Here is a 25,607-nt window from a genome sequence, read left to right on the forward strand (position 1 = left end):
TAAAAATACAAAGATTAGCCAGGCATGGTGGCGCACACCTGGAGTCCCAGCTACTCGGGAAGCTGAGGCAGGAGAATCCCTTGAACCCAGGCGGCAACTAAATTCCTTCAACACATATAATTAAAAAATAATCCACTCTCAAGTAAATTGTAGTCTATGTGAATAAAAATGCAATCCCTTGTAGATGAGTTTGCAGAGGTTGCAGTGAGCCGAGATCATGCCACTGCACTCCAGCCTGGGTGACAGAGTGAGACTGTCTCAAAAATACATACATACATACATACATACATACATACATACATACATACATACATATGGCACAACTGTGTCTGTCTTCCATTAGCACTTTTTTGGGGAGGAATTGCCATATGAATGGGTGCACCAATATATTTTCCCAGTGACAGTATACAAGGGTTCCCTTTTCTCCATGTCCTCACCAATACTTGTTATCTTTTGTCTTTTTTGATAATAGCCATCCTAACAGATGTGAAGTGATATCTCAGCGGTTTTGATCTGCGTTTCCCTAATGGTAAGTCATGTTGAGCACCTTCTCATATACCTGCTGGCCATTTGTATGTCTTTTTTGGGTAAGTGTCCATTCTGTTTGCCCATTTTTAAATCAGGATATTTCTTTGGGGTTTCTTGTTTGTTAATTTGTTTGCTATTGAGTTGTAGGAGCTTCTTATGTATTTTGGATATTAATCCCTATCAGATCTATGGTTTGCAAACATTTTCACCCATTCTGTATGTTTCCTTTTCATTGTGTTGTTTCCTTTGCTGTGTAGAAAGTTTTTAGTTTGTTGTATTCCCACTTCCCACTTGTCTATTTTTACTTTCTTTTAACCTATGCTTTTGGTGTCATATCAAAAATCATCACCAAAGTCAATGTCAGGATTCTTTTTCCTGTATTTTCTTCTAAGGAATTTTATGTTTTCAGTTCTTATATTTAAGTCATTAACCCTTTTTTTTTTTTTTTTTTTTTTTTTTTGAGATAGAGTCTCCCTCTGCCACCCAGGCTGGAGTGCAGTGGTGCGATCTCAGCTCACTGTAACCTCCGCCTCCTAGGTTCAAGCAATTCTTCTGCCTCAGCCTCCCGAGTAGCTGGGATTACAGGCATGTGCCACCAGGATTGGCTAATTTTTGTATTTTTAATAAAGACAGGGTTTTACCATGTTGGCCAGGCTGGCGTGGAACTCCTGACCTTAGGTGATCCACCCGCCTCGGCCTCCCAAAGTGCTGGGATTGCAAGTGTGAGCCACCGCTCCCAGCCCAATTAATCCATTTTGAGCTGGCTTTTGTGTATGGTGTAAGATAAGGGTCCAGCTGTCTTCCATTAGAATTTCATCCATGGTTAAAATGGACAAACTTTTCCTGTAATGGCCTTAAAGTAAGCTGTAGAATTTTATAATTTTATTTTATATTTATATTATTTATAAACTATCTTTTCCTCCAAATATATTTACTAACTATAGGACTTTTTTACCAGTTAAAATTTTGTGTCCATCAGTTTATATTGGTTGGGCACAGTGGGTCATGCCTATAATCCCAGCACTTAGGGAGGCTGAGGTGGGAGGCTCACTTGAGCCCAGGAGTTCAAGACCAGTCTGGGCAACACAGCAAGTGAAAATTAAAAATTAATTTATATTAAATATTTGTACATTTTTCCTCCCTTTCTTATTCCAAATATTCCTTTTTTATAACAGTATTTCAAAATCTAAGATTTTTTACGTCATTGTTTCTTTTTAAATCATGCAACTTTCTGGTTTTTTTTTTTAATTCTTGTTTATTTTATTATTTATTTTTTGAGACAGGGTCTCACTCTGTGACCCAGGATGGAGTGCAGTAACATGATAATGGTTCACTGTAGCCTCGGCCTCCTGGGCTCCAGCGGTTCTCCTGCCTCAGCCTCCCAAGTAGCTGGAACTACATGTGTGCCATCATGCCTGGCTAATTTTTTTGTAGAGGCAGAGTCTTGCTATGTTGCCCAGGCTGGTCTCCAACTCCTGGCTTCAAGCAATCCTCCCTCCTTGGCCTCCCAAAGTGCTAGGATTACAGGTGTGAGCTACTGCACCCTGCCAGGAAGATCTTCCTTGATAAGATACCGAAGGCAAAGGACAAAAAGGTTAAAATATTGATAAATTTGACTACATGAAAATTTTAAAATTTCTGTATGACAGAAATATGCTAGGAACAAAATTAAAGAAAATGCATAGACTGATAGTAAATATTTATAACAGGCAAAAGGTTATAAGCCAGAATGTTTATGTACTTTTATTTGTAGATAATCTATATTTAAGCCTCCTTTATATCAATAAGAAAAAGACAAATAACTCAATAGAAAAGCAAATTTGTATGAATGAGCAATTTATAGGAGGAAAAATATAAATAGTCAATAAACATATGAGAAGATAACAACCCTCATTGGTAATCAGGGAAATGAATGCTGAAACAAGAATGAAATACCACCTTTCAACCAACATATTGGTAAAGATTTAAAAGTTTGCTAATATCCATATTGGTGAGGTTATAAGAAAATGGATGGTCTCTTACATTGCAGGTAAGAGTATAATTAGTAAAACCACTTTGGGGGCAATTTGGCAATATCTAGTACTTTTCAATATGCGTATACCTTATGAACCAGCAGTTCCCCATCTTTGTATCTATGCTAAAGAGGCACTAACAGTTACATGCAAGAAAACTCATGCAAAGGCTCATTAAGTCATTTTTATCATGAAACATTAGAAACAACTAGCATCCGGAGAAGAGGAATGGCTACATAAACTGTAGCTATATTATACAATATTACGCAACATTTAAAAAAGAGGTATTGCTAGGTGCCGTGGCTCATGTCTGTAATCCCAGCACTTTGGGAGGCCAAGGCAGGCAGATCGCCTGGGGTCAGGAGTTCAAGACCAGCCTGGCCAACACAGTGAAACCCCGTCTCTATTAAAAATACAAAATTAGCCAGGCTTGGTGGTGTATGCCTGTAATCCCAGCTACTTGTGAGGCTGAGGCAGGAGAATCACTTGAAACCAGGAGGCGGAGTTTGCAGTTAGCCAAGATCATGCCATTGCACTGTAGCCTGGGCAACAAGAGTGAAACTCTGTCTTAAATAAATAAATAAAAGAGGTAGCGCTGGGCGCAGTGGTTCATGCCTGTAATCCCAGCACTTTGGGAGGCCGAGGTGGGCAGATCACCTGAGGTCTGGAGTTCAAGACCAGCCTGGCCAAGATGGTAAACCCTACTAAAAATACAAAAATTAGCCAAGTGTGGTGGCAGGCACCTGTAATCCCAGTTACTGAGGAGGCTGACACAGGAGAATCGTTAGAACCCGGGAGGCAGAGGTTGCAGTGAGCTGAGATTGCGCTACTGCACTCTGGCCTGGGTGGTGTTGCGAGACTCTGTCTTAAAAAAAAAAAAAAAAAAAAGGAAAGCAAAATAAAGCAGGAAACCTAAAGATACATAGAATAGCGTATCAGTTTCCTAGGGCTTCCTTAACAAGCCACCACAAACTAGACATGGGTGCCTAACCTTTGGCTTCCCTAGGCCACTTTGAAAGAAGAATTGTCTTGGGCCACACATAAAATACACTAACAATAGCTGATGAGCTAAAGAAAATAAAAAAGGCCCGCGCATAATTTTCATGATATCTGCCACTATAGATAAGCAAAAAAGTCTTTGCATTCAAAGAGTTGGACACCACTGGCTAACATAAACTTATATATCATTTCACTGTTCTAGAGGCTAAAAGTCGGAGCTCAAGGTGCTGGCAGGACCCTGCGCCTGCTGAATCTTCCTGGCTTTTGGTGGCCCCGGGTGTTCCTTGGCTTGTGACAGCACAACTCTAATGCCCCGTTTTCATGTGGCATTCTCCCTTTGTGTCTTCTCATCACCTTTCCTCTGTGCATGTCTGTTTCTGTGTCTAGATTCCTCCTTTCTAAAAGAACACCACTGGCTGGGCACAGTGGCTCATTCCTGCAATCCCAGCACTTTGGGAGGCCAAGGTGGGCAGATCAGTTGAGGTCAGGAGTTCGAGACCAGCCTGGCCAACATTGCGAAACCTTGTCTCTACTAAAAATACAAAAATTAGCCCAGTGTGGTGGCAGGTGCCTATAATTTCAGCTACCTGGGAGGCTGAGACAAGAGAATTGCTTGAACGTGGGAAGTGGAGGTTGCTGTGAGCCAAGATCACGCCACTGCACACCAACCTGGGCGACAGAGTGAGACTCTGTTTCAAAAAGAAAAAAAGGACACCAGTCATACTGGATTAGGGCCCATCCTAACAACCTTGATTATCTGTAAAGACCCTGTTTCCAAATAAGGTCACATTCTGATGTACTGGGGGTTAGGACTTCAATGTATCTTTTTTGGGAGAGACACAATTCATCCCATAACAAATGGTATACCATATATGGAAAAAAAATACCATATCTTTTATTTTCTTTTGAGGCAGGGTCTCTGTCACTCAGGCTGGAGTGCAGTGGCTCAGTCTTGGCTTGCTGCAACCTCTACCTCTAGGCTCAAGCAATTTGGCCACCTCATTCTCCCAAGTAGCTGGGACTACAGGTGTGTGCTACTGGCTAAATTTTTTTGTATTTGTGTGTGTGTGTGTGTGTGTGTGCGCGCGCTAGCTGAAATTTTTGGATTTGTGTGTGTGTGCTAGCTAAATTTGTGTGTGTGTGTGTATGTGTGTGTGTGTGTGTATAGAGATGGGGTTTCACTATGTTGCCCAGGTTGGTCTCAAACTCCTGGGCTCAAGCAATCCACCTGTGTTGGTCTCCCAAAGTGCTGGGATTATGGGCATGAGCCACCAAGCCCGGCCTCATATATTTTCAAGAGTTCATATGTACATATATAAAGACAGATGGAAATATTTAGAAAAATACACAACTAACCAGGCTCAGTGGCTCACAGTGGGAGCACCGCTTGAGCCCAGGAGTTAGAGGCTACAGTAAGCTATGATTGTGCCACTGCACTCCCGCGTGGTGACAGAGCAAGACCCTGTCTCCAAAAACAAACAACAACAACAAAAAATACACCTAACTGATAAATTAGTTACTATTGCTGGTGGTAGAAGATCATATTGGTGGATTTTAGTATTTTAGCCTTTAGCTTTGTTGGCAATGTTCACATTTTTACAAGATAATGAATTACCAGAATAATTTTTCAAAAATCATGGCTGGTCCAATGATAGTGGGTTATCAGAACTTATTAACATTAGTGTAACTAAAGTTGGTAGATAATCCCCCCTGCTAAATTTGACTGGCTAAATAAATAAAAATAAAAATAAAAATCATACAATCCAGAAAGATGTTAATTAAAAACAATAGAATGCTTCCCTACACTTCTTGACCTCTTAGTTCCATTTCCAGAGGAAATCACTTAAAAAAAAAAGTTTTTAGAGAAGAAGTCTCACTATGTTGCCCCATCTAGATTCAAACTGCTAAGCTCAAGGGATTCTCCACTTCAGCCTCCCCCACGTAGCTGGGACAGCAGGTGCATGCCACCATGTCCAACTGGGAGCCAGTTTTTAACTCTTAGTAGTTATCTCCATTGATCTAAATAACATACTTCAGGAGATAATAATAATACCCAACTCCTAGGACTTATTGAGAGAAGTAAATGAACTAAGCCAAGCACAGTGGCTCACGCCTGTAATCCCAGCAATTTGGGAGGCCGAGGCAGGTGGATCACTTGAGGCCAGGAGTTCAAGACCAGCCTGGCCAATATGTCAAAATCCTGTCTCTACTAAAAATACAAAAATTAGCAGGGCATGGTGGCGCATGACTGCGATCCCAGCTATTTGGGAGGCTGAGGCAGAAGAATCGCTTGAACCTGGGAGGCAGAGGTTGCAGAGAGCTGAGATCGCACCACTGCACTCCAGCCTAGGCAACAGAGTGAGACTTTGTCTCAAAAAAAAAAAAAAAAAAAGAGAGAATGAGCCAATACATGTCAAGAACTTAGAACTGCTCTTGACACATTAATACTTAATATAGATTGGTTATTACTACTTTCATTAATTATTATTTTGTCATCTATCAATTTTAGTCAATTACCTATTGATTTCAGCAGTGATAACTGAGGATTTGGGGCTCTGATACCACTCCCTCCTTTCTCTCACCTTCTCAATTCATTTGCCTTTTCAACTACTCATTAACTCTTTTGGAGGTCTCCTGAGTTGTTCTAATTCTCCCATTGTTTCAGCTTCAAACTCACCAGTATCTAACCAAATGAATCTTGTCAGAATTGCTGCACTGAAATTTGGAAGAGAATCTGGTTGCATTGATCGTGGAGAAGTGATTTTTAATTTCTTGCTGAACTGGTCCCTTTCTTGATTATCTTTCTTGGCCTTTCCTTTTGTCAATCAGCCCATTGCAATCTGGCGTATTACTGTGCTTCTCGTCTAATATGCTTCTCTCCAGCTTCTAGAGGTCCAGTTTCAGATGCTGACCTAACTAATACTGTCACTCTTCCAATTTATTTATTTATTTATTTATTTATTTATTTATTTATTTGAGACAGAGTCTCACTCTTTCACCCAGGCTGGAGTGCAGTGGCACCATCTCTGCTCACTGCAACCTCCGTCTCCTGGGTTCAAGTAATTCTCATGCCTCAGCCTCCCTCAGCCTCCTGAGTAGCGGGGACTACAGGCGTGCACCACTATGCCTGGCTAATTTTTGTATTTTTAGCAGAAACAAGGTTTTGCCATGTTGGCCAGTCTGGTCTCAAACTCCCAGCCTCAAGTGATCCACCTGTCTCAGCCTCCCGAAGTGCTGGGATTACAGGCATGAGCCACCGCACCTGACCCAAATTTTTCTTAATGAATCAAAAGCTCTTTTACTGTTGTTTTTACATTAATGGTATGAGTCTTACCAAGTTAGAGCTCACTGAGAAAGCCAGCTCTCAACCCACATGTCATCTCATGTGCTAGCTAATGAACTTGATGTCACCAAATTAACTGGCATGTCAACTTCCCTTTGGGTTGCACTCTGCTTGTGACTTTCATTACACCTATCACCATCCTGACTGCAGGGTTAACCTGCTTCCAAGTTAACTCTCTAGAGCAAGAAAAAGAATGCTTTTTCTGGCTTCCCTCAGATGGAATTGAAACAGACCAAAAATTTTAAAAATACTTTATTGAATGATAAAACAGAAATGCACATAGAATATGAGACATATCAGTGGTCTGGCTCACAAAGAAGAGATATCATATCTTGCAAGCCAGGGTTTCATATGCCTTTTGTATCCAGTCTGATAAACTTCCTTCCCCCTAAGTGAATACCGTTAAGTGGTCTTAAAATAGCTTCTCATACACGAACTGAGTTTGCCCATAGTAAACCTCCAGTAGTGTGATATTCTAATACAATAACTGTATACTAGAATTACCCACAAAGGGTAAGAGGGAGGAACAAATAGTTTTTCTTTCACTGTGCATATCTCAAGTTAAAAGAACAATATCAAGGTAAGACAGTGTCTGCTACACAATGCACAGAGACCTTGGTTTCTGTGGGGCTGAAATCATGGACATTTCTATCACCTAGTAAGGAAACAAAGGTTGTGGAGAAGCAGCTGGTCCAGAAGAAACAGAACACAGCTTAGCATTACATGATCTAGATTCTACTAATTGTTCTTCCAATTATTCAACTAGAGCTCTTTGTCCTTGGAAAAGTGAACTTTTCTGAATCTCAGTTTCCTTATCTAAAGAGTGAGCATACCAATATTTACACTACTTATCTCTCAGTGTTGTTCAAACAATTGTTAAGGTAACAATTTATTGTAAGCAGAGTCAAAGTTTACTTCAGTCTTGCTCGAGGGAACTTGAAGAAAGTTCATAGATTTCTTTCATAGACTCTTTGTCTGATACTCATGGGTAGCTAGATAACATTTTTAGACTAAGTACAAGGAAAACTATCTTGGTACAGGTTATTGGGCTCCTCATGTGCACGTTACTGTTTTTTTTTATTATTATACTTTAGGTTCTAGGGTACATGTGCACAATGTGCAGGTTTGTTACATATGTATACACGTGCCATGTTGCTGTGCTGCACCCATTAACTCGTCATTTACATTAGGTATTCCTCCTAATGCTATCCCTCCCCCCACCCCCGACCCCATGACAGGCCCTGGTGTGTGATCTTCCCCACCCTGTGTCCAAGTGTTCTCATTGTTCAGTTCCCACCTATGAGTGAGAACATGCTGTGTTTGGTTTTCTGTCCTTGGGATAGTTTGCTCAGAGTGATGGTTTCCAGCTTCATCCATGTCCCTAAAAAGGACATGAATTCATCCTTTTTTATGGCTGCATAGTATTCCAGCAAGTTACTCTTTACAAAACTGTGTGTGGAGATCTAACAACCCATGAAGAACCCTATTATAAGACATTGTATTGTGGTTCAATTTTTTTTTTTTTGAGATGGAGTCTCCATGTCTGGCTAATTTTTGTATTTTTACTAGAGATGGGGTTTCACCATATTGGCCAGGCTGATCTTGAACTCCTGGCCTTGTGATCCGCCTGCCTCAGCCTCCCAAAGTGCTGGGATTACAGGCATGAGCCACCTCGCCTGGCCCAGGCCAGTTTCAATTACACTACCTTTCTAATTTTGCATAAAATTAAACCACAGGCCGGGTGCGGTGGCTCACACCTGTAATCCCAGCACTTTGGGAGGCCGAGGCAGGCAGATCACAAGGCCAGGAGTTCAAGATCAGCCTGGCCAATATGGTGAAACCCCATCTCTAGTAAAAATACAAAAATTAGCCAGGTGTGGTGGTGGGTGCCTGTAATCCCAGCTACTCAGGAGGCTGAGGTAGGAGAATCGCTTGAACCGGGAGGCGGAGCTTGCAGTGAGCCAAGATTGCGCCACTGCCTTCCAGCCTGGGCGACAGAGCAAGAGTCCGTCTCAAAAAAAAAAAAAAAAAAAACCTGGCCCAGTTTTCCCATAGAACTAAAGCTTGAGAAACTTACATTTGTCTTAACTGAGTTCCTTTCTCAGGAAACTGACTATCAGGGCTTTCAGATAGGATCAAGGAACTGAAGTGTTCCAGATCATCATACCAAGACAATGAGACACCTGTTGGCCAACTCCTCTTCCTCATCCCTTCCTAATTCCTATTTGCCTTCCCCACTATATAAACCCCAAACTTTAGTTGGTTAGGAGATGGATTTGAGACTTGTCTCCTATCTTTAGGCTGATGTCACCCAAAAGAAAGCCTTTCTCCCTGTCAATATTTGTTGTCACAGGGATTGGCTTTCTGTAAGGTGAACAACCAGACCTACACCAAACCCCTGGCGTTCAGCAACATGATAGCCTGTACCTGTCACCTTGCTTCAAAGGTTATCAACACATAACCAATCTTATTGATATACACTCCTATCTATTCCACCACCCCAAATGGATTATTTTAAAGCAACTTCCAAATTTCACCTATAGGTATGTAGGAGATTAGAACACACCACCTCCAAATATGCCACTCTGGGATAAAGATTATTTTGAGCTGACAGCAATTGAGGAAGAGCAAACATAGGAAGAGCTCTCTGCCATCCCCTGTATGCCTGAAAGCAGATCATAAAATCCCCCCGTGAAGGGCACCCTCGGCAACTTCCCATACCAGGGAGGGAATAAGCACCTTAACACGTGAGACAAGAAGTCACCAAGAAAGGGCCTACATAAACCTCACTAGCCCTTTCCTTCCATTAGTTTCCCCATGTATTTGCCTTCCTATAATTTGCCACCCCTTGAAGTGCAAAGACCCTTTCTTTCATTTCATCACTTCTCTTCAAATGTATTCTCTTTTGCCTGAATGGTATAAAAGCCTCCAAGCTTAGTTTTTTCTTTAGAGGTTTTTTTCTCTTCTCTCCGTGAGCACTTCCCACCCCTACCATAGAAAACTTCTTTTGTTTTTTTTTTTTTTTTTGAGAATGAGTCTCGCCCTGTTGCCAAGGCTGGAGTGCAATGGCATGATCTCGGCTCACTGCAACCTCCACCTCCTGGGTTCATTCGATTCTCCTCCCTCAGCCTCCCGAGTAGCTGGGATTACAGGCACGTGCCACCACACCTGGCTACTTTTTTGTATCTTTAGTAGAGACAGGGTTTCACCATGCTGGCCAGGCTGGTCTTGAATTCCTGACCTTGTGATCTGCCCACCTAGGCCTCCCTAAGTGCTGGGATTACAGGCATAAGCCACCGCCCCCGGCCACCATGGAAAACTTTTAACATCAAATTCATTTGTGTGACTTTTCTCCTGTTGATCTTTCTCTTGTAAGTTTGTTTTGAAAATTAAGCCAGAGACCTAAGAAGGTAGAGGAAAATTTTCTTTCCCGACAGATACTTGAGTTTATACTTCTAAGATGTTCTCTCCCTCTCTCTTTAACATAACAAAAAAACACTAACAGACCATCATGGTTGTTCGCATCTATAATCCCAGCACTTTGGGAGGCCAAGGTGGGAGGATCTCTTGAGCCCAGGAGTTCAAGACTAGCCTGGCCAATATACTGAGACCATATCCTTACAAAAAAAAGAAAAAAAAAAATATATATATATATATGGACACACATATGCATACATATAAAAGATTAATAATATTTCCTTAATATCATTAAATATCCAGACAGTGTTCAAGGTTCCTTTACCAGTTCATAAATGTTTCATTTTTACAAATGTTTTGTTCCAATCAGCACCCAAACAAGATCTTCTCATTGCATTTCCTTTTTTTTTTTTTGAGATGGAGTCTCACTCTGTCGCCAGGCTGGAGTGCAGTGGTGCCATCTCAGCTCACTGCAACCTCTGCCTCCAGGGTTCAAGTGATTCTCTTGCCTCAGCCTCCCGAGTAGTTGGGACTACAGGTGCATGCCACCACACCCAGCTAATTTTTGTATTTTTAGTAGAGATGGGGTTTCACCATGTTGGTCAGGATGGTCTCGATCTCTTGACTTTGTGATCTGCCTGCCTCAGCCTCCCAAAGTGCTGGGATTACAGGCGTGAGCCACCGTGCCCAGCCACATTTGGTTGATATATTTTTTATGTCTCCTTTAACCTATGGTCTCCTTTTCTCTCTTTTTTTTTTTACTAGCCATTTTGTTGTCATTGATGTTGAAGAACCCAAGTTGTTTGTATTTGTATAAATACAAAACAATTCTATATAGAATTTCCCACGATCTGGATTTTGCCAATTGCATCTCTGTCATTTTCTCACTCAAGCACACACATATTCTTCAGCTCCCAGTGTAACCTACCTGTAAACTGGTACCATAGTTAGATCTAGCGGTGTGATCAGCTTCAGCTTCAAGTTTGATTTTTTTTTTCTTTTTTGCAAAAATAGTTTGTTGATGATAATGTGCACTCCCGGTTGCTTTATATCCAGAGGCATGTAATAACTAATGCTGTTTCTGTGATGCAAGATCAGCCTTTGGTTTCTGGTGCTATCAGCCGGATCCATTTTTTTTTTTTAGACGGAATCTCACTCTAACACTCAGGCAGGAGTGTACTGGTGCAGTCTTGGCTCACTGCAACCTCTGCCTCCCGGATTCAAGTGATTCTCCTGCTTCAGCCTCCCAAGTAGCTGAGATTACAGGCCCACACCACCACGCCTGGCTAATTTTTTTGTGTGTATTTTTAATAGAGATGGGGTTTCACCATGTTGGCCAGATTGGTCTCAAACTCTTGACTTCAAGTGATCCACTTGTCTCAGCCTCCCACAGTGTTGGGATTACACGCATGAGCCACTGCTCCTGGCCAATGATGTGGTTTTCTGTTGACTATCAACTCTTGAATTTTCACGTGATATGCTTTAATCTATTCTTCTTCTTCTTTTTTTTTTTTTTTTGAGACGAAGTCTTGCTCTGTCACCCAGACTAGAATGCCATGGCACGATCTTGGCTTACTACAACTTTGGCCTCCTGAGCTCAAGTGATTCTCGTGTCTCAGCCCATGTAGCTGAGACTGTAGGCGTGTGCCACCACACCTTTTTGACACACCTGGCTAATTTTTGTATTTTTAGTAGAGACGGGGTATCGTCATGTTGGGCAGGCTGGTCTCCAACTCCTGGCCTCATGTGATCTGTCCACCTGGCCTCCCAAAGTGCTGAGGTTACAGGTGTAAGCCACCACAATCCATTCTTCTTTTCGATATTTGAATTATCCCTTCTGTCAATAAGAGTTTGTTGTCTCTTCAAGTTAGTTTTTTATTTATTTTTTATTTTTATTTTTATTTTTTAGATGGAGTCTCACTCTGTCACCCACATCTGGCTGATTTTTGTATTTTTCGTAGAGATAGGGCTTCACTACATTGGCCAGGCCTGTCTCAAACAACCAACCTCAGGTGATCCACCTGCCTCGGCCTCCCAAAATGTTGGGATTATAGGTGTGAGCCACCGTGCCCAGCCTTCAAGTTGGTTTTGATAAACTTTTGACATGACCATGTAGTCTTTGATAGTTTCCTTGCTCTCTCATAAAGAAAAGATGTTCCAGAATCACTTTACACATTTTCTGCCCCAAATCTGAGATCAGTCATTTCTCCAAGGCATTCTGGCTTAAAGAATCTCTTAATCTCATCAAAGTTGTGATATTGTGAAATATATATTCGGTGTTCATCCTGTTTCTTGGCATACAGCTCCTAAGACCCTTGGATTCTCCAGAGTGATAAGAGTCTTTTGTTTGAGAAGTGACACTGTTGAAAAGTGTAAAATAAATAGATAAATAAAACAAAGAATTATCTTTTGTATGCTCATGTGACCCCTACATAGCTTCAGGATGGGAGCTGGTCACCAGAAAAACCAAGGCATGATCAGAGGGTTGAAACTTTCAGTACCACCTCCCAACCTCCAGGGAAAGGAGTGGGGCTGAAGATTGAATTGCTCATGAATGGTTAATGATTGAATCAATCATGCCTGTGTAATGAAGCATCCGTAAAAACCTAAAAAGGCTGAGTTCTGGGGGCTTCAAATAACTGAACACGTGAAGGTTTCTGGAGAACGGTGCTCCTGGAGAGGACATGGGAGCTCCGTGCCCCTTCCCACATACTTTGCCTTATGCATCTCTCCCGTCTCCCTGTTCATCTGTATTCTTTGTAATATTTTCTAGTATAAAAAGGTAAGAGTAAATGAAGTGTTTCCCTGAGTTCTGTGAACTGCTCGAGCAAATTTATTGTTATTATTATTATTATTGAGACAGAGTCTTGCTCTGTTGCCCAGGCTGGAGTGCAATGGCGCGATCTTGGCTCACTGCAACCTCCACCTCCCGGGTTCAAGCGATTCTCCTGCCTCAGCCTCCCAAGTAGCTGGGATTACACATGCCCACCACCATGCCTGGCTAATTTTTGTATTTTTTAATAGAGACGGGGTTTCATCATGTTGGTCAGACTGGTCTCAAACTCCTGACCTCAGGTGATCCACCCACCTTAGCCTCCCACAGTGCTGGGATTACAGGTGTGAGCCACCACACCTGGTCTTATTATTATTATTATTTGAGAGGGAGTCTCACTCTATTACCCAGGCTAGAGTGCAGTGGTGCGATCTTGGCTTACTGAAACCTCCACCTCCCAGGTTCAAGCAGTTCTCATACCTCAGCCTCCTGGATAGCTGAGATTACAGGTGCACACCACCACACCGAGCTAATTTTTGTATTTTTAGTAGAGACAGCGTTTCACCATGTTGGCCAGGTTGGTCTCAAACTCCTGGCCTCAAGTGATCTACCTGCCTTGACCTCCCAAAGTGCTGGGATTATAGGCATGAGCCCCCATACCTGGCCTCATCTAGCAAATTAATTAAACCAAAGGAGAGGATTGTAGGAACCCCAATTTATAGCTAGTCAGCCAGAAACTCAGGCCACAAACTGTGCTTGCTACTGGCATCTGAAGTGGGAACAGCTTTATAGGGCCGAGCCCTCAACCTTTGGGATCTGAAGCTATCTCCAGATAGATAGATGGTATCAGACTCTGAAATCCGAATAAGGTCTATGGATTGTAAAAAAGAAAAAACAAAAAGATAGTGTCAGGCCAGGCGCGGTGGCTCACACCTTTAATCCCAGCACTTTGGGAGGCCAAGGCGAGTGGATCACGAGGTCAAGAGATTAAGACCATCCTGGCCAACATGGTGAAACGCCATCTCTACTAAAAATACAAAAATTAGTTGGGTGTGGTGGTACACACCTGTAGTCTCAGCTACTCAGAGGCTGAGGCAGGAGAATCGCTTGAACCCAGGAGGCAGAGGTTGCAATGAGCCGAGATAGCGCCACTGCACTCCAGCCTGGGTGACAGAGCAAGACTCTGTCTCAAAAAAAAAGAAGACAGTGTCAGGGTTGAGTTGAATTAGGGAAACCCAGTTTGTATCCACGGCAGAATTGGGAGAATTGATTGCTTGCTTGTTGCGTGGGGAGTAAAACCCCACACACGTCGGGGGTCACAGAAGCATTCTTTGTTGATTGTTGAGTGAAAGTGTTACCAGCAGCAAATCTTACAGGTCTGCAGCAAACTCAGTTGTTGCCTCCTTGGAGGAAAGAATTCAGCCAAGGGGCAGAAGGCAGAGTGAGAGACTGAGACAAATTTTAGAGCAGGAGTGAACGTTTATTTAAAAGTTTTAGAGCAGGAACAAAAGGAAGCAAAGTACACTTGCAAGAGGGCCAAGCTGGCGACTTGAAAGACCCAATTGCCCTGTTTGGCCTTTGACCTGGGGTTTTATACATTGGCCTGGGTTCTGGGGTTTGCATTTCTTCTCCCTTGATTCTTCCCTTAGGGTGGGCTATCCACATGTGTGGTGGCCTGCCAGCACTTGGGAAGGGCCGCATGCTCAGTATGTTTACTGAAGATGTGTGCGTGCTCACTCACTTGGGACATTTTTTTCCCTTATCAGTGGAGCATTCCTTGAGGAAGGTCGCATACTGGTAAACTCCACCATTTTGCCTCTTAGTGCTCATGCTTGAGCCTGCTCATCCAGCTCCTGAGATCTTATCGGGAAGCTGCTGGTCACCAGCTTCAGGTGTTTTCTATCTATTGGGAGACCATCTTTCCCTGGCACCAGCTGTAACCAATTATTATTTTAGCCAGCCGGTTTAACAACCACCTGACCATCACCTGATGGTTGCCCAACATTCCTCTCTGCCCTGCTCATGTCTGCCTAGCTGTCTATTCTAACAAAAGAATAGGAAAAGCACTGGTTTTGCCTATGTCAGAATAAAAGTCTATCTGAAAATTGCTCAAAACATTTTCTTAGAAATGCTGGATACTTCACAGAAGAAGGTTTAATTACATCATATAAGAAAAGCTTGCGGCTGGGCGTGGTGGCTTACGCCTGTGATCCCAGCACTTTGGGAGGCCGAGGCAGGCAGATCACAAGGTCAGGAGATCGAGACCATCCTGGCTAACACGGTGAAACCCGATCTCCAGTAAAAATACAAAAAATTAGCCGGGCGTGGTGGTAGGCGCCTGTAGTCCCAGCTACTCAGGAGGCTGAGGCAAGAGGATGGCGTGAACCTGGGAGGCGGAGCTTGCAGTGAGCTGAGATCAAGCCACTGCACTCTAGCCTGGGCAACAGAGTGAGACTCCATCTCAAAAAAAAAGAAAAAAAGAAAAGCTCAAGGCCAGGCATGGTAGCTCACGCCTGTAAACCCAGCACTTTGGGAGGCAGAAATGGGTGGATCACCTGAGGTCAGGAGTTGAAGACCAGCCTGGCCAACATGGTGAAACCCTGTCTCTATTAAAAAAAATACAAAAATTAGTCGGGCATGGTGGCGTGTGCCTGTAGTCCCAGCTACTCAGGAGGCTGAGGCAGGAGAATCGCTTGAACCCGGGAGGCAAAGGTTGTAGTGAGCCAAGATCGTGCCACAGTACTCCAGCCGGGTGACAGAGAGAGACTCCATCTCCAAAAAAAGAAAAGAAAAGAAAAGCTCACACCTGTAACCCAAGCACTTTGGAGGCCAAAGTGGGCGAATTACTTGAGCCCAGGAGTTGGAGACCAGCCTGGGCAATGTGGCAAGAACTTGTCTCTATAAAAATAAATAAATACATAAGCAGCAGTTCTGCTCTAAACCCTTTTTTTCTCAAACTTAGGACAATGTTACTTCTCATGGAGTAAGCTATTTTACAAATTAATTAAAGAGCTGTACAAAATTTATGCTTATTATAATTAGGAATAGTCCTAAAGTAAGGAGTGAGAAGCAGGATAGAGCTTATGAATACATTTTGGGGATTAGATACAGAACCCAATTTTTTGCCCAGCATTTGGACTAATGCTTTGGTTCCCTGCTTCCTTCTTTTTTATTGATTGATTTTAAAATACTTCAGTTTTTAAGAGCAGTTTTAGATTCACAGCAAAATTGGTGAAAGTTTCAGAGATTTCCCATATACTCCCTACCCCTACACATGTATAGATTCCCCCATATCAACATCCCACACCATCATGGTACATTTGATGAACTTACATTGACATGTTATTATCACCCAAAGTTCATAGTTTATATTACAGTTCATTCTTGGTTGCTTTGACATTTTATTTATTAAAATATTTTGCTTGATTAAAAAAAAGAGCTGTTTACTGGAAAAGCAGAAAAATGCATAGAAGAAAACAAAATCACCTGTATCTCACTCAGGGAAAAACCACGGAAACATTTTCATATATACACTTCCAGGTCTTTCTTTCCATCCTTGCTTCCTTCCTTGCTTCCCTCCTTGCTTCTTTTTTTTTTTTTTTTTTTTCCATAAGTTAGTTCTTCACCTATTTATCTGGGACATATCCTATATTGTCCTATATTGTGTCCTATATATCCTATATTGTGTTCCAACAGGACAGTCTTAAAAGCTATGTAGCATTTCAATTCATAGATATAACTATTTAAGCAAACTCTCAGTACTGGTTTATTGATTGTTTCTAGTTTTTTGGCTATTAAACTATTGCTGTAATTTTTTAAAAACCCTCTATACATGCTGGCCAGGTGCAGTGGCTCACACCTGTAATCCCAGCACTTTGGGAGGCTGAGGTGGATGGATCACAAGGTCAAGAGATCAAGACCATCCTGGCCAACATGGTGAAACCCTGAGTCTACCAAAAATACAAAAATTAGCTGAGCATGGTGGCGCATGCCTGTAGTCCCAGCTACTCGGGAGGCTGAGGCAGGAGAATCGTTTGAACCTGGGAGGTGGAGGTTGCAGTGAGCCGAGATTGCACCACTGCACTCCAGCCTGGCCACAGAGCAAGACTCCATTTCAAAAAACAAGCAGGGCCGGGCGCGGTGGCTCACGCCTGTAATCCTAGCACTTTGGGAGGCAGAGGCAGGCAGAACACGAGGTCAGGAGATGGAGACCACGGTGAAACCCTGTCTCTACTAAAAATACAAAAAATTAGCTGGGTGCAGTGGCAGGCGCCTGTAGTTCCAGCTACTCCGGAGGCTGAGGCAGGAGAATGATGTGAACCCGGAAGGCAGAGCTTGCAGTGAGCCGAGATCATGCCACTGCACTCCAGCCTGGGCGACAGAGCAAGACTCCATCTCAAAACAAAAAACAAAACAAAACAAAAAACAAAAACAAACAAACAAAAAACAACAAACAAAAAACCCTTCTATACATGCCATTATTTACATTGGTGCATACTTTTTCCCAAAAACAAAATCCTTACAGTAGAATTTTGGGTCAAATATGTGAAAGTAATTTAGAGCTTTGCTATACCTTTCAAACTGAACTGACTTATACTCCTACTTGTGCACTAATGCTTTTGTAACACTATGCTTTTATAAAAAGTAATAGGAGGGCCAGGCATGGTGGCTCACACCTGTAATCCCAGCACTTTGGGAGGCCAAGGTGGGCAGATCATTTGAGGCCAGGAGTTCAAAACTAACCTAGTCAACATGATGATACCCCGTCTCTACAAAAATACAAAAATCAGCCAGGCATGGTGGTGCACACCTGTAATCCCAGTCACTAGGGAGGCTGAGGTGGGAGAATCTCTTGAACCCAGGAGGCAGAGGTTTCAGTGAGCCCAGATTGCACCACTGCACTCCAGCCTGAGCAACAGAGCAAGACTCTCACTCAAAAAAAAAAAAAAAAAAAAAAAGTAATAGGAGGCAGTAACTACCAGTCATACAGCTAATGGCTTCTAGAGAGGCTAAGGCTAAGTGGATATCGCTTTCCATTTCCAAGGAATGGGTGCTCACCAGTGTAAGAGACAAACTGGATTCATTCATTGTATAATTTAGAAAATATATATATACTTGAAGCTCTAAAAAGTTCTGAAATCCACTATTCCAGTAGAAAGCAAGGCTTCAAATTGCGTATTTTACTATCGAATCTCATCTGGAGTGATTCAACTCAAATATTTATGAGCAATGAATAATGAATTGAGTGTAATAACTAGTTATTTCTCTCAATGATTGATACTTATATGAAAGAAGAAAAATTTTCAAGAGGTAAAGTGTGATTGGACCTCATGATCTCAATATGAATTTTGACCCTTATGGAATAAGTTGTGGAAAATCATGGTTTTAAAATAACTTCACGGTGGAAGGAGAGAGAGAGGATCAGAAAACATACCTATTAGGTACTATGTTTAGTACCTGGGTGATGAAATAACCTGTACACCAAACCCCTGACATGAGTTTACCTATATAACAAAACTGCACATGCAACCCTGAACCCAAAAGTTAAAAAATAGATAAATAAAATAAAATAACTTATCTTTTTACTTTGAGGTAGAACTGGTGTTGGGGAAAGAGTTTGAAGTAATAAAAAAAATTATTTTGTTTTATTTTATTTTAATAAAACAGAGTCTTGGCTGGGCGCGGTGGCCCACACCTGTAATACCAGCACTTTGGGAGGCTGAGGCAGGTAGATCATGAGGTCAGGAGTTCAAGACCAGCCTGGCCAAGATGGTGAAACCCCATCTCTACTAAAAATACAAAAATGAGCCAGGCACGGTGGCAGGTGCCTATAGTCCCAGCTACTCGGGAGGCTGAGGCAGGAGAATTGCTTGAACCTGGGGTGGGGGCGGAGGTTGCAGTGAGCCGAGATTACACCACTGCACTCCAGCCTGGCTGACAGAGTGAGATTCCATCTCAAAACAAACAAACAGAGTCTTGCCGTGTTGCCCAGGCTGGTCTTGAACTCCTGGGCTCTAGTCATCCTCCCACCTCAGCCTCCCAAAGTGCTAGGATTATAGGCCTGAGCCACTATGCCTGCCCTATGAAGACATTTTTGAAAAGATTTCCAAAGATAGGAGATTCTGCAAAGTATAGCAACTATCAACATGAGGCCATTGAGCTCCTACCATATTCAAGGCCCTGTGAGAGGCTAGTGAGTGTAGTAAGCCGAGGAGACTGAGATGGTCACCCCCTAAAAGTCTAATGAGGAGACCATTGATCATAATACAATGTAAGTTACACTGGAGTTCTGAAAAGGATGTTGGAAATAAGAGCTTGGAGCCACAGAGAGAATGAACACTCAGACTAAGGATTTCTCAGCAAGGCAAATTTACTTCTGCAGAAGGGTGCTGCCTGCATCAGTCACAAGCCCAAGAGCACACCAAACAAAGAAGGGAAGGGATTGTTATCTCTAATGCAGTTAGTCCCTGTTGCTGTGTCCTGCTCTCATTGGCTGGGGCTGGACTGCACAATCTAAACTAATCCCGGCTGGCTATTTTAAATGGAGCAGGGGTGTGGGTTACAGCAGTGGGGTGAGCAGTTTTGGCGGGAAGAATACTTTTGGTGGGAAGGACAGTTACAGGCAGGGCAGGTAACCAAGGGAACAGGTGTGAATCAGATTAGAACTGGCGGGAATGTTGTTTACCATAACTAGGGACAAGGAGGCACAAAGAATGAGGAAGTTAGGCTCTGAAAATAGAGAACAAAGAACAAGGAAGCTGAACAAGCTGATTCTTTGAAGAGGAACTCCCTGCACCTAATAAGGAGAATTCCAATTCTTTTGGGAAGTCAAGTTAGGAGAGGTGGTGAGGCTACTTCAGAAACACCCTACGACTTTGATATGGTTTGACTGTGTGTCCTCACCCAAATCTCATCTTGAATTGTAGTTCCTATAATCCCCACATGTTGTGGGAGGCACCAGCTGTAGATAATTGAACCAAAGGGGCAGTTTCCCCCACCCTGTTCTCATGATAGTGAGTTCACACCAGATCTGATGTTTTTACAAAGGGCTTTCTCCTTCACTGGGCACTCATTCTTCTTCTCCCTGATGCCATGTGAAGAAGTAGATGTTTGCTTCCCCTTCCACCATGATTGTAAGTTTCCTGAGGCCTCCCAGTCATGCTGCACTGTGAGTCAAATAAACCTCTTTCCTTTATAAATTACCCAGTCTCAGGTATGTCTTTATTAGCAGTGGGAGAACGGACGAATACAAACTTCTAGTACGTCTCGTCGTTAAAGTCTGTAACAGGTAATGCTTTACTATGATTACAATGTTAAAAATATGGCAGTTGGGCACAGTGGCTCATGCCTGTAATCCCAACACTTTGGGAGGCTGACACAGGAGGATCACTTGAACCTAGGATCTCAAGACCAGACTGGGAAACACAGTGAGACCTCAGTCTCTACATCTCTACAAAAAATAAACAAAATTAGCCCGATGTGATGGCCCATGCTTGTAGTCTCAGCTCCTCAGGAAGCCAAGGTGGCAGGATTGCTTGAGCCTGAAAGGTCCATGCTGTAGTGAGCTGTGATATCACCACTGCACTCCAGCTCGGGCAACAGAGTGAGACGCTGTCTCAAAAACAAACAAACAAATATATATATATATATATATATATATATATATATGGAAAGACAGAGAGAGAGTGGTAGCAGAGAAGCTGAGAAGCAGGGTGCAGTGGTATGCACCTGTAATCTTGGCTACTTAGAAGACTGAAACAAGAGGATCGCTTGATCCAGAAGCTTGAGACCAGTCTGGGCAACATAGTGAGACCCCCCCCGCCCGCCATCGCCAAATATACATATATTGATACATTTATATAGCAAAGAGACACTATTCTCACGAGATTACTTTTCAGGCTAAAGAGGAGTAGAAATACATATGGTTACAGTCTTGCCAATGCGCCACAATGTAGCAATCTCTCCTTGTGAGGTATCACCTGGAGTTCTTTGTCTCACAAGCAAGAGAATTAAGGAGCTTGAACATAAAGGGTCAGGTTGGAGCAAAAGTTTAATAAGCAAAAGAAGAAGCCTCTCTGCAGTGGAGAGGGAGCCCAAAAGAGGGTTGCCGTTTTTACAGTTGAATGCAAAGGCTTTTATCAGAAACTGATGGGGGCAGGGCATCTCATTTGCATAAGATGCAAATTTCTGGTAGCTCCACACCAACCTCCTAATGCACCTGTGAGCCCTTAGCTTGAGTTACTCCATATTGCTTTGTTCCCCTTACTGCACATGTGTCAGCAGACAGAATTTTCCATTGCAGACACGTCTAGGCAAGTCAGCTGTGTAGTCTTTCTTATCTGTGTGGCTGTGGGCATGTCTTAGGCAAGTCCCCCCTGTGCAAGTTCCCTTATCTGTGCCTGCTGCTTGATTTTTCAGGCTGTTCTTTTGTTTGAAAGAATTCAGCTGAGGACCCACCCTAACTGCCTGCCTGACCGGTTTATTCCTTTCTCCTCTCTCAATATGATCATAGAGCTATGCACTGGTATTATCTCTTTAAAAATCATTTGAATAATACAGAAAAATGTTCAGGGTTGGTAATGATTTTTTCTCCTAATTCTGAAGGCTTTTCCCCATTGTCTCTAGCTTTCTGTGTGGCTGTTCAGAAGTTTGGTTTCATTCTGATTCTTAGTTCTATATCTATGACCTGGTTTGTTTGTTTGTTTGTTTGTTTGTTTTTCCTTCCTTTAGAAGCTTTTAGAATTGGCCCAGCATGGTGGCTTGTGCCTGTAATCTTGGTACTTTTGGGAGGCGGAGGCAAGAGGAGTGCTTGAGCCCTGGAGTTTGAGGTTGCAGTGAGCTATGATTGTGCCACTGCACTCCAACCTGGGTGACAGAGCAAGACTCTGTCCATCCTGTCTCTAAAAAACAAAACAAAACAAAACAAAAAAACAGGCATGGTGTCATGTTCTTGTGGTCCCAACTACTTAGGAGGCTGAGGTGGGATGGCTTGAGTCCAGGAAGTGGAGGTTGCAGTGAGTTGATTACTGCTGAGATCACACCCTTGGGCAACAGAGTGAGACCCTGTATCAAGAAAAAAAAAAAAAAAAAAAAGAAGCAGCAGAAGCTTTTAGGATGCCTTCTTATTCTATGGGTTCTTAACAGCTTTCCCTTCTTTCTTGCTGCCTAGTCCCAACTGCAGGTGTGCACATTTCCTTCCTTTCCCAATGATGATAGCTAAGACTTGGTGGAAACACTTTGTTTTTCTTTTTCTTTCTTTCTTTCCTTTTTTTTAGAGACAGGTTCTCCTCTGTCACCCAGACTGGAGTGAAGTAGCAGGATCACAGATCACTGCGGCTTCCACCTCCCAGGTTCAAGTGACCCTCTTTCCTCAGCCCCCCAAAGTGCTAGGATTACAGGCATGAGCCACAGCACTAAGCCTCACTGAAACATTTAACAAGACTTTAATAAATACTTGATGATTTCAGAATAAAATTTTCAGACATCAGACTTAATTTTTTTGGTTTTTATCGTTCTTAACCCACAGCAACTATTCGACTAACTTTTTACCATAATGGCCAAAATGCTCCTTTTCTAACTCCTTAAAAACAATGACTTTTCACTCAAAAATATACTAACTAAATATCCTATGAGAATATTTTGAGCTTATGGTTTCAAAGACCCACCCACAGATGACCTTGGCATGACAGTTTCTAGTTAGAGAATATTGCATGCAGTACATTTGAATTGTATGCTATGTTTGACTTTTGTTTTGTCAATGTTTCTATGTGCATTAAGTGACAGAGATTCTTCAAGTTGTTTTAAGGTCTTCTTGTGTTTAGCCTTCATTTGTCCCAAAGTTTTTTTTGTGTTATAGTTTTATTTAAAAAGCAGTTCAAATGCAAAATAGCTATGAATCTCCAAAAGGTAGAAGTATTGGCAGAAAAAATAAAATAAAATAAAATAAAAAAACAGGTCCAGAGAGAAGAAAACTAACCATTAAACTAAGATGAATGAGATAAAGAAAATGAAAAGGGAGTAAGAATAGAGTATATTGAATGTTTTTAAGGGAGAGCTCACTGTAGTGTGTATGATAGTTTTTGAAAATTACAAGAAGAGAAAGAAAAATTCTGGGACCGGCACAGTGGCTCACAATGAGCATGTAATCCCAGCATTTTGGGAGGCCAAGGTGAAAGGACTGCCTGATCCCAAAAGTTGGAGAACAGCCTGGGCAACTTGGTGAAACCCCATCTCTACAAAACAAACAAACAAACAAACAAACAAAAACCAAAAAAAACAAAAACAAAACAAAACAAAACAAACACCAAAAATTTGCTGGGCATGGTGGCACATGCCTGTGGTCCCAGCTACTCAGGTGGAAGGATTGCCTGGGGCAGGGGAAGTCAAGGCTACAGTGAGTCGTTATTCAACCATTGCACCCCAGCCTGGGCGACAGAGTGAGACACTATCTCAAAAAAAGAAAGGAAGGAAGGGAGGAAGGGAGGGAGGGAGGAAAGAAAGAAGAAAGGGAGGAAGGGAGGGAGGAAGGAAGGGAAGAAGGGAAGGAGGGAGAGAGGGAGGGAGGAAGGGAAGGAGGGAGAGAGGGAGGGAAGAAGGGAAGGAAGGATTGATTCTGAATTCGTTATATATTGTGGGAAATGGATCATATCCCCAAAAAGAGCTTCCTCTAGTTTCAATCTAAAGAAAGAAGAAATTATTACCAAGTTCACTTGACTCTAATCTTTTTGTTGTTGTTATCAAATATGGGATATTCAGTCTTGAATTAAATGATGTGCTGTCAACAATCCAGTCTATGTCATGTAGCACGATCAGTGTGAGGCAGGAAAATAGCGTCTGGAGGCAGGAAATATAAGGCCAATTCCCACTTCAGCTATGACAGGAAATATCCTCTCCATAGGGTGTAGGCTGAGTAAATAACTTTGTCATTCTCTTCATTTACATAAGGCATATTCCAAGTACAGGGTATATAAACTCCAAAAATTCTGTAACAAGACGCTTGAGCCCCTATGCTTGACCCACTCCCACACTGTGGAGTGTACTTTCATATTCATTAAATCCCTTCATTCCTTCCTTGCTTCGTTTGTGAGTTTGTCCAATTCTTTGTTCAAGACACCAAGAACCTGGACACCTGCCACCGGTGACAAGTGTAGTGCTTTTTTGGCAGTTTTTCCTCCAGCATGAAGGGATGACCAGGCCTGAACATCATTTCAGCAATGTTCGGTGCCACTGATTTTCTGTGAGTAACCAACACAATAAAGGATTTAACTATGGACAACGCCCAAGAGTAAGCAGAAGCAATTGCATGGGGCAGTCTGAGTCTAGGAAACAAGCATTTCTCTACATGAGAGTCTCAAGGGAAGAATATTTAGATATACAATTCTGTCTGCATTAAGACAAAAGTTATAGAACCCTGAAGAGCACTTTAGCCCTTAGACCACACCTTCACTTTAGAAAGTGTCTTCATTCACATTTGCACAACTAAAGCAAAATGAGAATGGTTTTCTTAGAACTCAGAGATGGTTGACCTCCATGTAAATCAAGGCTTTCCCTCTAGCAGGCCGAGACTTGTTTGCATATTTTAAATGACAATTGTTTTCTATTTTCAGTGTCTACTCTCAGTGGAGCCCAGTCTTAATATAGGTTACCCTCTCACACATCAAAACCAACTCTTTTTCTCTCCTTAATACCATCCCAAGGCTCTGGTCTACATCCTTGGCACTAGAATACAAAGAGAAATCAACACAAATGCTGTCTCTGGGAAGCCCATACTTGTGTTGGGGAGAGAGATACAATTGTATATACAATTAACTATAATAAAAATAAGAATGAGTCAAAATACAGTTACAACCTAATTCTAGAGGTCCTCAAAGGTAGAATTAATGGTGATGACCCAGACTAGTGACATAAAGATCATGAGTTAATATTTTAGCAACCATTAGCATCTGCATGCCACCTGCCATGACTGCTTTCTCAATAGTATGCACATATGCAGTGAACAGGTGTTATAAATAAAGTTTCATTGCCGCAAAAGAAATAGCACTCAAATATAAAATTTTTCTGCTCAGCAAGGCAATATTCTTCTATAGAAGGGTGCGCCTTCACAGATGGAGCAATGGTGAGCGCACGCCTGGACAAGGGAGGGGAAGGGGGTCTTATTCCTGACGTGCGTGGCCTCTGCTGCTGTGTCCTTCCCCTATTGGCTAGGGTTAGACTGCACAGGCTAAACTAATTCCGATTGGCTAATTTAAAGAGGGTGACAGGGTGAGTGATTTGGCAGGAAAAATGGTTATGGCAGAGCAGGAAATAGAAATGAGTTGGGCTGGAGGATGAGCAGGTAATCGGAATGAGTCAGGGTGAAGCAGGTAATTGGAATGAGTCAGGGTAGAGCACGTGATCGAAAAAGGTTGCTTTATGAGGAAGTTAAGTTTAAAAGTAGAAGGCAAAGAATTGAACATACTGACATTGATTCTCTGAAGAGAAATTTAGAACTCATATCTAACAATGGTATGCTTGTATACACTTAGAATTTTGCATT

At 42.3% G+C, this 25,607-nt stretch overlaps 3 annotated features.

The window, feature by feature from the left end:
• Nucleotides 9,182-9,476: a silencer, noted in NCBI's record as "tiled region #5293; HepG2 Repressive non-DNase unmatched - State 7:EnhWF". NCBI's record gives its function as "represses a minimal TATA promoter and a strong SV40 promoter by Sharpr-MPRA in HepG2 cells {active_cell/tissue: HepG2}" and the evidence as "EXISTENCE:reporter gene assay evidence [ECO:0000049][PMID:27701403]".
• Nucleotides 23,075-23,607: an enhancer, noted in NCBI's record as "H3K27ac-H3K4me1 hESC enhancer chr7:138118122-138118654 (GRCh37/hg19 assembly coordinates)". NCBI's record gives its function as "activates a minimal SCP1, AML or CMV promoter by ChIP-STARR-seq in primed H9 embryonic stem cells {active_cell/tissue: H9 hESC(primed)}" and the evidence as "EXISTENCE:reporter gene assay evidence [ECO:0000049][PMID:30033119]".
• Nucleotides 23,608-24,140: an enhancer, noted in NCBI's record as "H3K27ac-H3K4me1 hESC enhancer chr7:138118655-138119187 (GRCh37/hg19 assembly coordinates)". NCBI's record gives its function as "activates a minimal SCP1, AML or CMV promoter by ChIP-STARR-seq in primed H9 embryonic stem cells {active_cell/tissue: H9 hESC(primed)}" and the evidence as "EXISTENCE:reporter gene assay evidence [ECO:0000049][PMID:30033119]".

This window comes from Homo sapiens, chromosome 7 (genome assembly GCF_000001405.40).
Source record: "Homo sapiens chromosome 7, GRCh38.p14 Primary Assembly".
NCBI classification, from domain to species: domain Eukaryota; kingdom Metazoa; phylum Chordata; class Mammalia; order Primates; family Hominidae; genus Homo; species Homo sapiens.